This window comes from Homo sapiens, chromosome 12, assembly GCF_000001405.40.
Source record: "Homo sapiens chromosome 12, GRCh38.p14 Primary Assembly".
In the NCBI taxonomy this organism is placed as follows: Eukaryota; Metazoa; Chordata; class Mammalia; order Primates; family Hominidae; genus Homo; species Homo sapiens.
The window spans coordinates 27,242,003-27,255,645 of NC_000012.12; the positions used below are offsets into that span (position 1 = coordinate 27,242,003).

Below are 13,643 nucleotides of genomic sequence, written 5' to 3' on the forward strand. Positions count from 1 at the left end.
AAATATTGTTTCTGTGTATCATTACTACAAAATTACTGTAGGTCTTGATCTTATTATTTAATGCATTAATAAAGAGGCAAATATATAACTATTTTAGTTATCTATGGCAGTGTAACATAGTATCCCAAAAGTTAGTGGCTTAAAACCACAAATATTTATTGTCTCACAGTTTCTGTGGGCCAGAAATCTGGGCTTGGCTAGTTGGGCCTGCTGGCTCAGTATCTGGTTTTACAAGGCTGCAGTCTAGGTGTCAGGTGGGGCTGCAGTCATCTCAAGGCTCAACTGGGAAAGAATCTACTTCCAAGCTTACTTACATGATTATTGGCAGTATTCAGTTCATCACAGGTTGTTGGACTGGGGGCCTGAATTCCTTGGTGGCTGTTGACTGGATCTCTCTCAGTTCCTTGCCATGTGGGCTTCTCTGTAAGGCAGGTCACAAGACAGCAGCTGGCTTCCATGAAAGCGAGCAAGTGAGAGAGCAAGGACAAGCAAGATGGAGCCCAGAATATTTTTGTAACCTAATCACGGAAATGATATCCTAATCACTTTTGCTATATTTCCTTTTTAAGAACTAAGTTACTAGAGAAGGGAATTACAGAAGGCAGGAATACTAGAAGGCGTGGATCATTGGCAGCCATCTTAGATGCTACTACTACTTACCACATAATTATATTACAAACTCACTTTTTAGTATTTTGGTAACTGTATGTTAACATTATCAATTTCCTTTGTAACCCTAGGTAGTTTATGCATTTAAGAACACTGTTTTGAAAAGGGGTCCATAGACCACCAAAATTCTGGTTCATAGCTCTAATTTGTTTCAGTTGAGGTACTTTCAACAACTTCCCAGGGAAATTTGTTTACAATGGTCTCAATTTAGGAGAATTTAGGAACTAGAGGTCAAAGTCTTAGGCTATCCCATATTAACCTAGACTGCTACTCTATACTAGTTCATATTACTCTAGTATGGCACATTTGAAGACATAAATTTGCTGTGGAACAAACCATACACTGTTCTCAATCTTATCGTAGCATTTGAATGGTATGTGTATGCGTGCAGTACAGGGAGAAGGGTGTATAGGCCTGTCAAGCTTGTCTGATCACAATTAAACCTCCTATGCTTGTATATGACAACTGTCATTTGAGTTTCAAAATGACCATATAAGTGGAGCTGATCTCCCCAAAAATACACTAATTACCAAACTAGAGCTTTTCCCACTACTAAGCTATGTATGAAAAAGCACAGTGTAAGAAAGAGAAATGAGGTAATGCTTCTTTCCTAGGTGTTTTGCTCGTGTCACCTGCTCTTGGGAAACCTAAAGATGACAGGTGGCATTTCTAAGTGATAGTTTTTGCAAGCACAGTACCAGCTTCATACGTTGTCTCAGTAAGCTAAAAGCTAAGAATATTTTATAAGACCTCCAATACTCATATTGAGGATAAACTTGCCAACAATAATTGGGAGTCATTCTCTCATTTGGCTTTCCCAAAGGCCAGTTTTGTCCCCAGACGCAAATTGCATCAACCTTCCCAAAGTTGTCCCTTTTGGGTCATCCTATAGGGGAGTGCTCTTCTGCACAATTCTCAGATCCTACTGATAAAGCAGGCCAGTACTGTAGTTATTTTAGATTTTCCAAGAAAACTCAAACAGGTTTTTAATGTATTTTTTGTGGCATTTACAAATCCTGGTTCCTCTCCAGTCTCTGGAGTCCCCTCATGGTGAAATGGAAGCGTCAAGGAACCTGGGTGGCTTCGAGTCCCCACAGCTACCGACTGAGCAACTTAGCTGATCCATCTTTGTTGACAACTGTTTCCCAATCTGAAAAATGCGTGAATTCTCTCTTTCCATTTCTAACATTCTTTGCATTGCACTGTTTGAAAAATTCGGATGACATTTAGAATGTGACTAATGTCGCAACACATTAGGCCACTCTCAAGAGAGGCCTGAACAGGTTTGGCGTAAAAACGGCAGTGAGGTGAGGCTGGTGAGAGGGGAAGTGGCGACAGTTCAGTCAACTCCCTCAAAACCAGTCTGGCCTTCACCAGGCGGAGATGGGTGGGGCCGGGAAGACGGGCGTTGACGACAGAAGGCTACTTCCGGCTGTGGTGCGTATGACGTCAGGGCGAGTCGGACCGACCCAGCCACCGAGAAGCCGAGGAGGCAAGGCTCGCGAGAGTTCAGGGAGGCCGCCCTGAGATTCCGGCGAGGCCGCGGGTCCCACCTCCCGGGGGCGGGGCGAGGGCGGAGCGGGGAGAAGGGAGCTGACGGGCGCCCGGCCGGCTGCGGTCCGTGCGGAGGCTGAGCCGGCCGCGGGCGCGACCGGAGGCAGGTGAGTTCGCGGATGTAGCGCTCGGCTGAGGGCCCGAGCTCGCCGCGCCAGCCCCAACTCTGCGAGCAGGAGCAGGAGGAGATTTTAGGTGTCTTTGGGTGTCCAGGGAAAGCCGGGCTAATTCTGGGGCTGGAAATGTCTCCGGGGAACCTGCGGCGACGGCCTTGGCCCTCTTATTCCCCGGGGTGATACTGGCCCCATGTGTCCAGAGAGGGAGCCTCGCACCCGGGGAGGAATCTTTGTCCTCTGCTCCTTTCTCCTTCCACTCCCCGGCCCCCGAGCACTCCGCTCCGGGTCCCCGCCTGGGCTTCACAAACAATAACAAATGTCGCGGATCCTCTCCGGGTAGCCCCAGCGCTCCCGTCCCGTGCCCTCCAGCCGATGTCACCCAGAGCCAGGATCCGAAGCATGGCTCTTCAATTGTGGGGGCTGTTTGTGTACCGTTCCTAAAAACTGATGCGTCAGATTGCCAAACATTTCTCAAGACAGACTCAGGAAAGCCTCCCAGCTCCTAGAAGCCACGGAGTGCTCAAAACCAGTCTTAGAATCTGTCTTTACCATTGCACCCGTAGCCCCTTCCTTTCAAAATCATTTCTCCCACTCCTTTTTTCACCTTTAGTATCGAGGTCGAACGAGTGGTTATTTGGTGTGGGAGTAGAAAAGAGTATAACCGATTGAGTAGGGCACGTTTCACCTTTAAAAAGTTGCCAGGTTGACAGCAAAAGAACAAACTTTATTTTCAAAACCAGTGGCCTCCCCTTTTACTGGTGCTGCTTTTGTTTTGTGGAATAGCTTTTCGGGTTCTAAGTTTGGAGGAATGATATAAAAAGAAGTGGGAGGTGGGGGGAGGGCTAGTGGCTCTGGAAGTAGTGGCTTGTCCAAAAGTAGGATGCTATTGTTTCTCACTTGATAAAATGCAGAACCAACACTTTTACCCATTTCACATAACTTGTGATAAGTTTTGAGAGAAGCCACTTAATCGGAAATGGCCTATTAGCTTATTTTACTGCTCAAATCTGAAAAAACAGCTTTAAGTGATTTAAGTTCTGCCTCTTGATTGTAAGATGGGGATTGATGAGTGAGACCTTGTCTTTTTTGGCGCTGGGGCTTACGTTTGACCGGTCTCTCTACTTTAAGGCAGGGCCTATTGTACTTAAGCCCATTTTTGCTTCCTCAGTACAGATTCTTGAAAGTTCTTTGTCTCAATCATATATGTATATAAGGTACTGTAAACCTCTTTGAATTTGATTGGCCTTTCTCTCTGTGCCTCAGGATATGTAAAACAATTAAGTTTATTATACTCTCTCCCCAGTGGCTGAGAGGTATTGTATGTGAATTAGCCACCCTTGTGACTATTTGAGGAGAGAGAAGTTAGTCTAAAATATTATGTTAAATTATGATATTACATAATTTTATTGCATAAGTTCATCAAACTACTTCCATCTGAAAAATCCTGATCTCAAAATAGGTAGGTACAATGAATTAAAAAATGTTTTGGTTTGACCTCACTTAGCTTTGTTTTCTCCTTGTTAAGATGGCTGATAATGTTTCCCATTTGGTTGTGATGTGTTTAGAATGAGAAGCAAAGTTGGGTGTAGTTTTTGTACTCTTTTGAAAGGCCTTGCCACTAGGAATGAAAAAATTAGACTTAGAAAACACACATTAAATAGAAGCAGTTTTTCTCTAGCCATTTGCTCTTGAGTTTGTTTTAAAATAAGTCAAAGAATGGAGACTGAGATGATTTGTGCCAACAAATAGATGTCCTTGTTAGTTTTTATGCTGAAAACTTGATTTCTAAAGGTAGGACACTGTAAGAACAAAGGAGAAATTGGACTTCCTAAAAAATGATAACAAAGCAATGGACTCAGTTCAGCTGTTTGCTTTCAGAAAAGTTCTGTTCTCTTAAAGTAAGGAGAGCATCATTGTGTTAGTGAAATTGGATAACGCACCTTAGAAAGTGCCTCCCCAGTGATCCAGGATAAGTTGGAGGCTCTTTTGTGTGTGTGTGGCACTTTTTGTTAAGAGGGAGAAAGGGCACAAATCAGAGCCAGAAAGATTTGCATCTCGATGTATTGTTAAAATGCTTTTATTTTATGTAAATAGTGTCAGGTGAATCAAGCAAGCATATTGTTGTCTAGCATCCTTAGGATTACATTAAAATCAGCAGATTGGCAAGTTATGATTAGGTTAGACTTGACATATGCAGAAATTATGCTTCTGTATTTTTATATTAAAAGCACCATGGTCTTTTTGAATGAAATAATGAAAGCAAGCTTTTAAGACATAACTTTTTTAAAAAATTAAAAATCTGTCTTTGGTTAGTTTATAAACATGAAGCATATCCTCCTCTTCTTCCCCCCAAAATTTTTGTTTAAGTCTTAAGAAAGTCTTTAGCAAGGTATGACCAGTACTTAAGTGCACTGGTTGCATAAGCCTTCTGTCTCCAGGTAAAAGTTTGCTAATTGACAGGGTATTATTGTTCAGAATCTTTAGAGGGAGAGAAATGAAAGGCAACAGTGAACAGTGTTTGCTGCTCTGTACACTCGGACGAACTGTGGTTGCTACTCTGTACACTCGGACGAACTGTGGTTGCTGTCTTCAAGGAGATGTGATCCAGTGGGAGAGAAATATACCTACCCAAATAAATACCATAGAAAATGTGTTTTATGAGGAAGCCAAGGAGGGAGGGATTAAGTGCTGCTAGACCAATTAAGGAAGACTGAAATAGGAAAAGGCGTTTCTGTGGATGATTTAAGTGATCTAGTCATATGATAATGATGATAAGTAAATACTTTATATAATGCTGCTTCCTGCTAAATCCTTTACATATATTACTTACTTGCCTGGCTTTAATCCTCACAACAACTGTATGGAGTAGGTATTTTTATTATTCCCGTTTTGCAGATGAAGTAACTGTGGTACTAAGGTTAGATAGCTATTGAGTGGTAGGACCAGGATTCTGACCCAGGCATTCTGGCTTGTACCCATATGGCATGCTTAACTGCAATCCATATTTTCTCTCCTGTTCATGATGGTCTTCCTCAGATCTGTAGTTTCAAAAACTTGACTTGGGAAATACATTCTTCTGACATCTAAATTTTGGGGTCAGTTTTCTAGAAAGAGTTCCAAAATAACACCCAAGTAAATGAGTTATTTTTGACATGTTATTTTAATCCATTTTTGGAAGTTATTCTTGGTGCAGATTAAATATAACTATTGAGTGGGACTTTTTAATAATTTTGACTTATTACCTATAAGTACTCATAAGAACTTAGAAGTGAGAAGTTATTCCATATTAACTCTTTTGCTTAATGGAATGTTTGCGTCTTTGTATATTTTGTCCTGTAATTTATTTTTTTTAAAGAAAGAACCTCACTGTCTTGCCCAGCCTGGACTCGAACTTCTGGGCTCAGATGATCTTCTTGCCTCCTAAGTTGCAGGAACTATAGGCCTGAGCCACTGTGTTTGGCTTTGTTCTGTAATTTTTTTTTTTTTTTTTTTTGACAGAGTTTAAGTCTGTCTTTTAGGCTGGAGTGCAGTAGTGCAATCATGGCTCATTGCAACCTCTGCCTCTCAGGCTCAAGCGATCCTCCCACCTCAGCCTCCTGAGTAGCTCGGACTACAGGTGTGCACAAGCACGCCCGACTGATTTTTAAATTTTTTGTAGAGACAGGGTTTCACTATGTTGCCCAGCCTGGTCTCGAACTCCTTGGCTCAAGTGATCCTCCTGCCTTGGCCTCCCAAATGTTGGGATTACAGGTGTGAGCCAATGTGCCCAGCCCTGTTCTATAATTTTTTAAACCACTTGGCACTGGATAGTTTTTGGGTTGAATTATGAAGTTGAAATTTAGTTAATGATTGAATGTTGGTCTCAGCCCTTTTAGTTTATTTTCATGAATAGCTATGCTTATAATGGCAGAAACAGGGTGAATAGAGTGTTGTACATGTAAAAATGAGAGAAGTTCCATCACTGATACTTTATGTTGGGGCAACTTTGACAGTTCTTTGGGTTTGTGAAATAAAGGGTGCTATAGAAGTGCACAGTGTCTTGTATAGGCCTACTCAGTACTGTAAATGTCCACCTGATTTTATTTATGAAGTTTCAGGAATAGTCCACATTTGTTATTGTTTAAGAATTGGAATCACAAATTCAATTGGATTTAAAGGTTAGAAAAAAAGTATACCTAGGCAGGGAATACAGCAGGTGAGCGGTGGGAGAGGTATTGCCTGCCTTTTCCTAACTGTCCAGCAGGATCCAGACTCTTCAGCTTCTTTGTCAGTGCCTGCAGTTGACCGTACTCATAGTTTAAGTACAGCTCCAGAGTCATAGTCTCTGTGAACGAATATAAGTATTCTCCACTTGACTCAATGGGGTAGGTTCTAGAAGACACCTATACTAGGACAGTTGATGGTTGATGAGCTTAAAACCTAATGGGAAGAGTAGCAGAACTAAAGCCAGGATTTAAAGCACGTGTGTTTATATTATTGAAATAAGACAGAGATGGCAAAACAAATTTTAAAAAGTTTTTTTTTGAAACATACCTTAAATTAATAGTGATGGTATATCATTTCCATTTACCATGCCCTGATTGGCAGATCTTTAGCCCATCATTTCATGGAGATACTTAGATGTGGACTTCGCTTTGTTATAAAAAGTTTCCAAGTTCTTCTAAGTACAGGTGGTTTGGGAAGATTGTCTTAGTAAAAAGGTGTGTGAGTAGGTCTATCAAAAGAAAACCAGTCATACTGTTACCTCCTTGCTGATTCAAGTTTTGGGGGCATCTTTTCCCACCAGGAACAGCTTATCTGCATTGAACGTCTGCTGAGGCAGGTAGCCTGCCTCTTAGATGAGCTCTGCACAGATCTTAGGGAAGACCTTAACAGTTACAGGTCATGTGGTGACCTGATCATTCACAGTCATATTGTATAAATTCCAAACAGGCCTGGAGCCTTGGCAATTGTCTGTGGTATGTGATAACACTTCTACTATGCTTAGCTTTTATTTATTTATTTATTTATTTTTGAGACAGAGTTTCACTCTTGTTGCCAAGGCTGGAGCGCAATGCATGATTTTGGTTCACTGCAACCCCCGCCTCCTGGGTTCAAGTGATTCTCTTGCCTCAGCCTCCCAAATATCTGGGATTACAGGCACGCACCACCATGCCTGGCTAAGTTTTGTATTTTTAGTAGAGATGGGGTTTCACCATGTTGGTCAGGCTGGTCTCGAACTCCCGACCTCAGGTGATCCGCCCGCCTCGGCCTCCCAAAGTGCTGGGATTACAGGCGTGAGCCACTGCGCCTGGCCTATGCTTAGCTTTTAAATTCTTAACAAGCTCTTTACCTTCCCCTTAATTAACACCAGATCAGTTGGTAACCCAAATTGTTGATTCTCTGGCCATTTATACAGAAGGCTTCCTGTTTTCCTTGCCTTTTGCTGATTCTCGTTGATTCCACAGGTATAGAATTTCTACATGTTATAATAGATAAATCTCTGATCCCGTATGCACAGATAGCATCCATTGTTTTCTTACCTCTTTGAGTTATTTACTATCTCTCCAGCTGATTCAGGAGATTTTATTCCTCGTTTTCCTGATTCCTGGGACACTTTTACTGCTTTTGCAGTTCCTGAATAGGGTGGAGTTAATAATGTTTAACACCTCAAATCAGCTACAGATACACCCAGAATAAAGAACAAGATGGCAGAAACTAACATGAGGGCATGATAGCTAACCCAGGCATTCGGGGTTGCTGTACCTTTGCTATGGAGTCTAGCTTTCATTCTGTCTGTGAAAGTTTAGAAAATTGAGTTTGGGACAGAGAAGCTTCTGCACACATTAATGCCTACTTTTCAGGGGGCCAAGTTCTCCCATTGCTATTCTGCTTTTATGAATACGGTTATTGCTATTCTGCTTTTATGAATACGGTTATTGCTATTCTGCTTTTATGATCTGGAGATTTTGACTGCATTTCTCTTGATTCCTCACCAATTCAAGAGACACAGTAAGTAATCTGAACATTTAATATGAAGCATACTTTGTGTAATTTATATTTCTCAAAGTTTGTCTCCCAGTGGTAATATATAGATTTAGCTCCCTGAACATCATCTTTCCCTCTTAAATGTTCTTGATTCCTTTTTCTTTCTGAATGTCACCCATTAGGGCACAGGTCTGATAATTTTATCAATGCCAGTAACCACTTATCCCTTACTATGCACCAGACATAGTGCTAAGTACTTTATATATATTATCTCATTTAATCCTTATAGCAATCTTGTGAGTTATTATCTCTACCTACAAATGAGGAAATTGGAGCTTAGAGAGGTGAAGTGACTTGCCCAGGGACACACAGGTAGATAGTAAGTGGTAGAGTTAGAAATTGCTCCTTCAGGCCGGGCGCGGTGACTCACGCCTGTAATCCCAGCACTTTGGGAGGCCGAGGTGGGCAGATCACGAGGTCAGGAGATTGAGACCATCCTGGCTAACATGGCCAAACCTCGTCTCTACTAAAAATAAAAAAAATAGCCGGGCGTGGTGGCGGGCACCTGTAGTCCCAGCTGCTCAGGAGGCTGAGGCAGGAGAATGGCGTCAACCCGGGAGGTGGAGCTTGCAGTGAGCTGAGACCACTTCACTGTAGCCCAGCCTGGGTGACAGTGAGACTCTGTCTCAAAAAAAAAAAAAAAAAAAAGAAATTGCTTCTTCAGATCAGGTTTGCTCTCTCTTACATTGCATTATTTTACTACAAAAACTTCTCCTTTTCTCTTTAATTTACCTCCCTCTTCTAGTCCCACCCCAAGTTTTCTTTCTTCTCTTTTTTCCCTTCCTTTTTTGGTAATTTCCCCTTTAGGAGTTATTTACAGTTTTGCATGTCAGACATAAATTCTCTTGGGAAAAGTATGCAGAAATAATTCAATTGTATTCTGATTTCTTATAGACAGGGATTTACTCTTAGCACTTATTTTAAGAATAATACCAGGAGCCCTTATATTTGTATTACACTTTATAGTTTTATGAAGCGTTTTTACACATTTCCTTACTTAATCCTCATAGCAGTCATGTGGTCTAGGCAGTGAGGGTTATGGCTATTACACCTATTTTCAGGTAAAGAGAGGAACTCAGATTAAAGTGACTTGTCTGAGATCTCAAAATAAGAGACAGAGCCTGAATTTAAACTTAGGTCTTTCGACTCTAATATAAACACTTTATTTAACACACTGGTCTTCCTTGTAGAGTAAAAGCTGCTACAAGCAAATCGTTCACTAAGGCCTCTACAAAATTAGTTGATGAGACAAGGTTTTTGCCCTTAGCAATTACAGTGCTGAAATAAATGATATAATCAAATGTTCTGACTTCATTTAAGCCAATTAGGAGTGGGTAAATATCATTATAGCATGGCATTTTCTAAAGTTTTAAGCCTTGAGCTTTGTTTTGTTTTGTGAGAATTGAGAACCTGGAATTTTAGTTCTGCATTTTAAATCATGAAATGTTAAAGTCCTTAATTCTTAAGTTATTGTCTATCTCATTGTGCACTCAATTGCTTACATTCTAACTAAAACAATTATGATAAAGGAATAGGGTGAAGGGAGGACAGACATAAACAGTGAAATTAAGGAATTGGGAATCCTAACAAGGGCTTGCTGAGGTATCTTACAGTAGCACTTTTTTTTTTGAGACGGAGTCTCGCTGTGTCACCCAGGCTGGAGTGCAGTGGCGCGATCTCAGCTCACTGCAAGCTCTGCCTCCCGGGTTCACGCCATTCTCCTGCCTCAGCCTCCCGAGTAGCTGGGACTACAGGTGCCTGCCACCACACCTGGCTAATTTTTTGTATTTTTAGTAGAGATGGGGTTTCACCGTGTTAGCCAGGATGGTCTCAATCTCCTGACCTCGTGATCCGCCTGCCTCGGCCTCCCAAAGTGCTGGGATTACAGGCATGAGCCACCATGCCCGGCCTACAAAAGCACTTTTGTAGAAAATTGAATATGATCCTTAAAAGAATGGATAAGCTGCAAGTAGTATTCACTTCTGGAAAGTGATAATGTTTGAGAGCTCAGACAGCTTATTCAATGATCCATTTTTGACATACTATCTTGTACTAGTGTCTGTTTTATTAAATTAATTTTTACTAGCAGTGTTCATTTTTACTTAGTTAAGTGTCTACCCACTGACCTGCTCCCATTGTGGAAATACCACACCGTGTTTGCCCCTTACGACTTTTCTGTATTTGGCAGCAGAGGCTGGTTGCTCAGTTTATTGTAGTACTAGGGAGTTGCCCTTTGTTGTGTTTTTCACAACAGCGATCCATTTCATTTGAACATTTTCAGATCTGGTTGAGGATGTTCTCCATATGTCGACTCTTATCTAGACAAACAGAATAGACTTTTTCTATTTTTGTGGCTAGAGTGGAAAATTTTAGTACTGAATTGCATGTATATGACCCATTGATATTCTTGATACTGGCAAATCCTAAAGGAATCACAGACTCATAATATTTTAGTGAGGTTAATCATCATAATTCATTATTTATCAGCTATTTGCAGGGCACTGTGTTAGGTACCATGGCAAAATAGAGACAAATAGATGTTTGGCCCTCCATTTAGAAAAGTTCAGTCCAGTAAGAGGTATAATGTATGGGTACAAATGACTGTAATTCAAACAGAAAGTGACAACGGAGTAACAGGGTACTGTGGGAGCAGAGGAAAGAGAGATTGCTTCTGGCTGTAGAGATTAGGAAAGCTTCCTATATGAAGTGAAATATGAATTGAGCATTTCAGAGTGAAGGACATGCCACGCAGAGGGATTAGCATAAATTGGGTGTATCTGTACAGCACCTGGTAAGTTCTGTTAATTATCTACTTCTCTTTCTGCTCTGTTGGATTTGAACCCTTTGAACTTAGAGAATTGATGTTTTCCAGCTTTTCATTCTCTACTTCACCACCTGTTCAACTTGGTACATTAATTACTTAGAGTTGTAAGTGGCAGTAGTGTATATGGAGTGAATTCAAGGAAAGAGAGTCCAGAAATGGGAAGACCAGTGAAGAGACAAATAATCTAGGTGATAATAATGAAGTTCTAAACTAGGTGAGATTGGGAAGGAGAGACTTGCATGGATGGGTCTCTCTAGTGAAAGAACCTAGGCAGTTCTTTCACTGTGAATTGTACATAAAGTACATACCGTGTGCCAGGAGATATGGAAAGGGAAAGACATGGTGCTCCCTCAGAAGCTGGGCAGGTGACTGGAGAGCTACATTCACAGGGGTAGAAATAGCTGCAATCAGGCATAGCAGCTGTCATGAAAGAGCAGTGAGAGGCACACCTAAGGGAGAGGGGCACCTACTTGGGATAGTGAGAGAAGCTTTCCAAGGATGTGTGAGTGTTTGAGCTTAGACTTGAAGGGTGAGGAGGAGTGTTTCAGGCCGAGAAGCCTCAGGCGGGTATTATCACATAGTGATGTAAGACACGAAGCATATTAGGGGGCCACAGGAACCGGAATTGTTGCCGTGATGCTGGACAGGAGCAATGAACTTTTATTTGCTGTCTATTTATGTTTATCCAGCTTTAGCACTCTGAGCTTTTGTAAGAAAGTGTTTCTGTTGCCTCTAGTAGCCTCTTGGAAGCACCTCTTCTGTGCTTCTCACTCCCAACCTGGAGTGCAGTGCTGGTGATAAATTGTCTCTTGCTTCCATTTTGTGAAATTAAACAGAAAAAGTAAAGATACCATCAGCCAGAGAGATAAAGAGAAAAGTAAATCCACTAAAATCCTTTTCTTTGATGAAGCCTAGAACCACCGAGGTTGTTGTATAAAGAGAATGCTGCATCAAAGCACAGCTTCAAGAGCACCTGACTTGAGGGAGGGGATTGTGGTAGGAACATGATTATTTACCTTTCCCATAGGGTTTTATGGAACTCTTAAACATTTCCCAAGACTGTAATACCTAATAATGAAGTCCTTTTATTCTAGTTCTAGCCTTGATTCTTTTCTCCTCTCTACTCTAAGCCTTATTATTTTTTAAAAATAACACAGTTTAATAACTAACATGACCCTAAACTTCAGATGGTGTCAAACATCATCTCTGGTCCTCCTCTATCCTTGTTTGGTCATTCAGAGACCTGTATGTGCAAATCGTTATTATAAACTTTGTATGTATAATCTACGTTAGATTGCTAGAGATAAAAAGCACTACAGATTTCTTTTTTACATAGATTTACTTTCTACAGTGGTTATTTTTTTTTCTGTCCTTTGGATTGGACCACTGAAACAGAATATAAAGTTGTTTTCTAAGGACAACCAAAAAGTTAATGGTAGTCTCTAATTCAAATTATATCCATTGTATTTCTAGGCCAGCGGTTGGCAGCTGTTTTGGCTTTAGTGCCATTACTGGTAATACTAAAAGATCATGGGCACTCTCAGGAGGAAAGTGAAAGGAACAGAAGGAGGAAAAGCGGGCTTGTGGGGTGGTAGGGGAGGCACAGAGAGGGGGCGGGAGAAAAAGTACATATGGTTAAAAGAGATCAAGTACCTCCACACCTCTTCCAGGTACCACTTGGTAGGACCAGTGCCATATTTAAGGATTAAGTTGAACTCCCAGCAGTCCTGTCTGAAAATACTCTGGTTGTATTTTTATGCCAAAAATGGCAGTTTCTTTTAATCAAACATTTCTGGATTTAATTTTTAAAATTGTATATGGACCAGTGTCTCTTTATTTTTAGAATTGAGCAGAAAAGGAGACAGAAATCAACATACTTTAAATATCAATGAAAATTATAAGCACATTTCTGAAATGTAGTTAAAGCTTTAAGATCTAAATCCATAGATTAGCCCCATTGTATAGCCCAATTCAGGCACAAGGTGGCAGAAAGTAAAGGGATGAATAGCTGGGAACATGTGTTTGAATTTTTACCGTAGTAAAACTGCATTTTCATACTAACCAAGAGTGTAACTGGACCCACAGAAGGAAAAATAGGGCTAAGAAATTAGAGCCTGTGCTTTTCTGTACAAGTAAACCAAGTACTCTCTCCCTTTCAGAAAACATTATCAAACAACAAAAAATTTATTTTTTAGAACTTACACAAGATATTGGACTGACAAAGCCAAAAACAAAAATACTTAAGATTTTAGCTTTTCTGTAATAGTGGTGAAAAGTTATTTCTCAGATTGTAAGAAATACTGTCTTGAAGTTTTTGATTGATTTTCAGAGTTGAAAGATGCTTTAGAGGTCATCTAGTCCAACTCTGTTGTGAATTCCCTGTACATCATCTCCAACAAGTGGATGTTTAGTCTTTGCCTAAATATTTAAGTTCCTTGCCTAAAGACAAGGAA

The 13,643-nt window shown here is 40.8% G+C and overlaps 1 protein-coding gene across 1 annotated transcript in view, besides 3 other annotated features; it reads left to right on the forward strand.

Annotated features, from left to right (window-relative positions):
* Window positions 995–1,054: an enhancer, noted in NCBI's record as "active region_6142". NCBI's record gives its function as "activates an Ori minimal core promoter by ATAC-STARR-seq in GM12878 lymphoblastoid cells {active_cell/tissue: GM12878}" and the evidence as "EXISTENCE:reporter gene assay evidence [ECO:0000049][PMID:35858748]".
* Window positions 2,113–2,352: a silencer, noted in NCBI's record as "silent region_4309". NCBI's record gives its function as "represses an Ori minimal core promoter by ATAC-STARR-seq in GM12878 lymphoblastoid cells {active_cell/tissue: GM12878}" and the evidence as "EXISTENCE:reporter gene assay evidence [ECO:0000049][PMID:35858748]".
* The window catches only part of STK38L (serine/threonine kinase 38 like), an 81,674-nt gene continuing 70,314 nt past the window's right edge, over window positions 2,284–13,643 (forward strand). Inside the window, exon 1 of the mRNA NM_015000.4 lies at window positions 2,284–2,330. The gene's annotated coding sequence lies outside the window, so the exon portion shown is untranslated. The remainder of the gene's footprint in view (window positions 2,331–13,643) is intronic.
* Window positions 3,643–3,692: an enhancer, noted in NCBI's record as "active region_6143". NCBI's record gives its function as "activates an Ori minimal core promoter by ATAC-STARR-seq in GM12878 lymphoblastoid cells {active_cell/tissue: GM12878}" and the evidence as "EXISTENCE:reporter gene assay evidence [ECO:0000049][PMID:35858748]".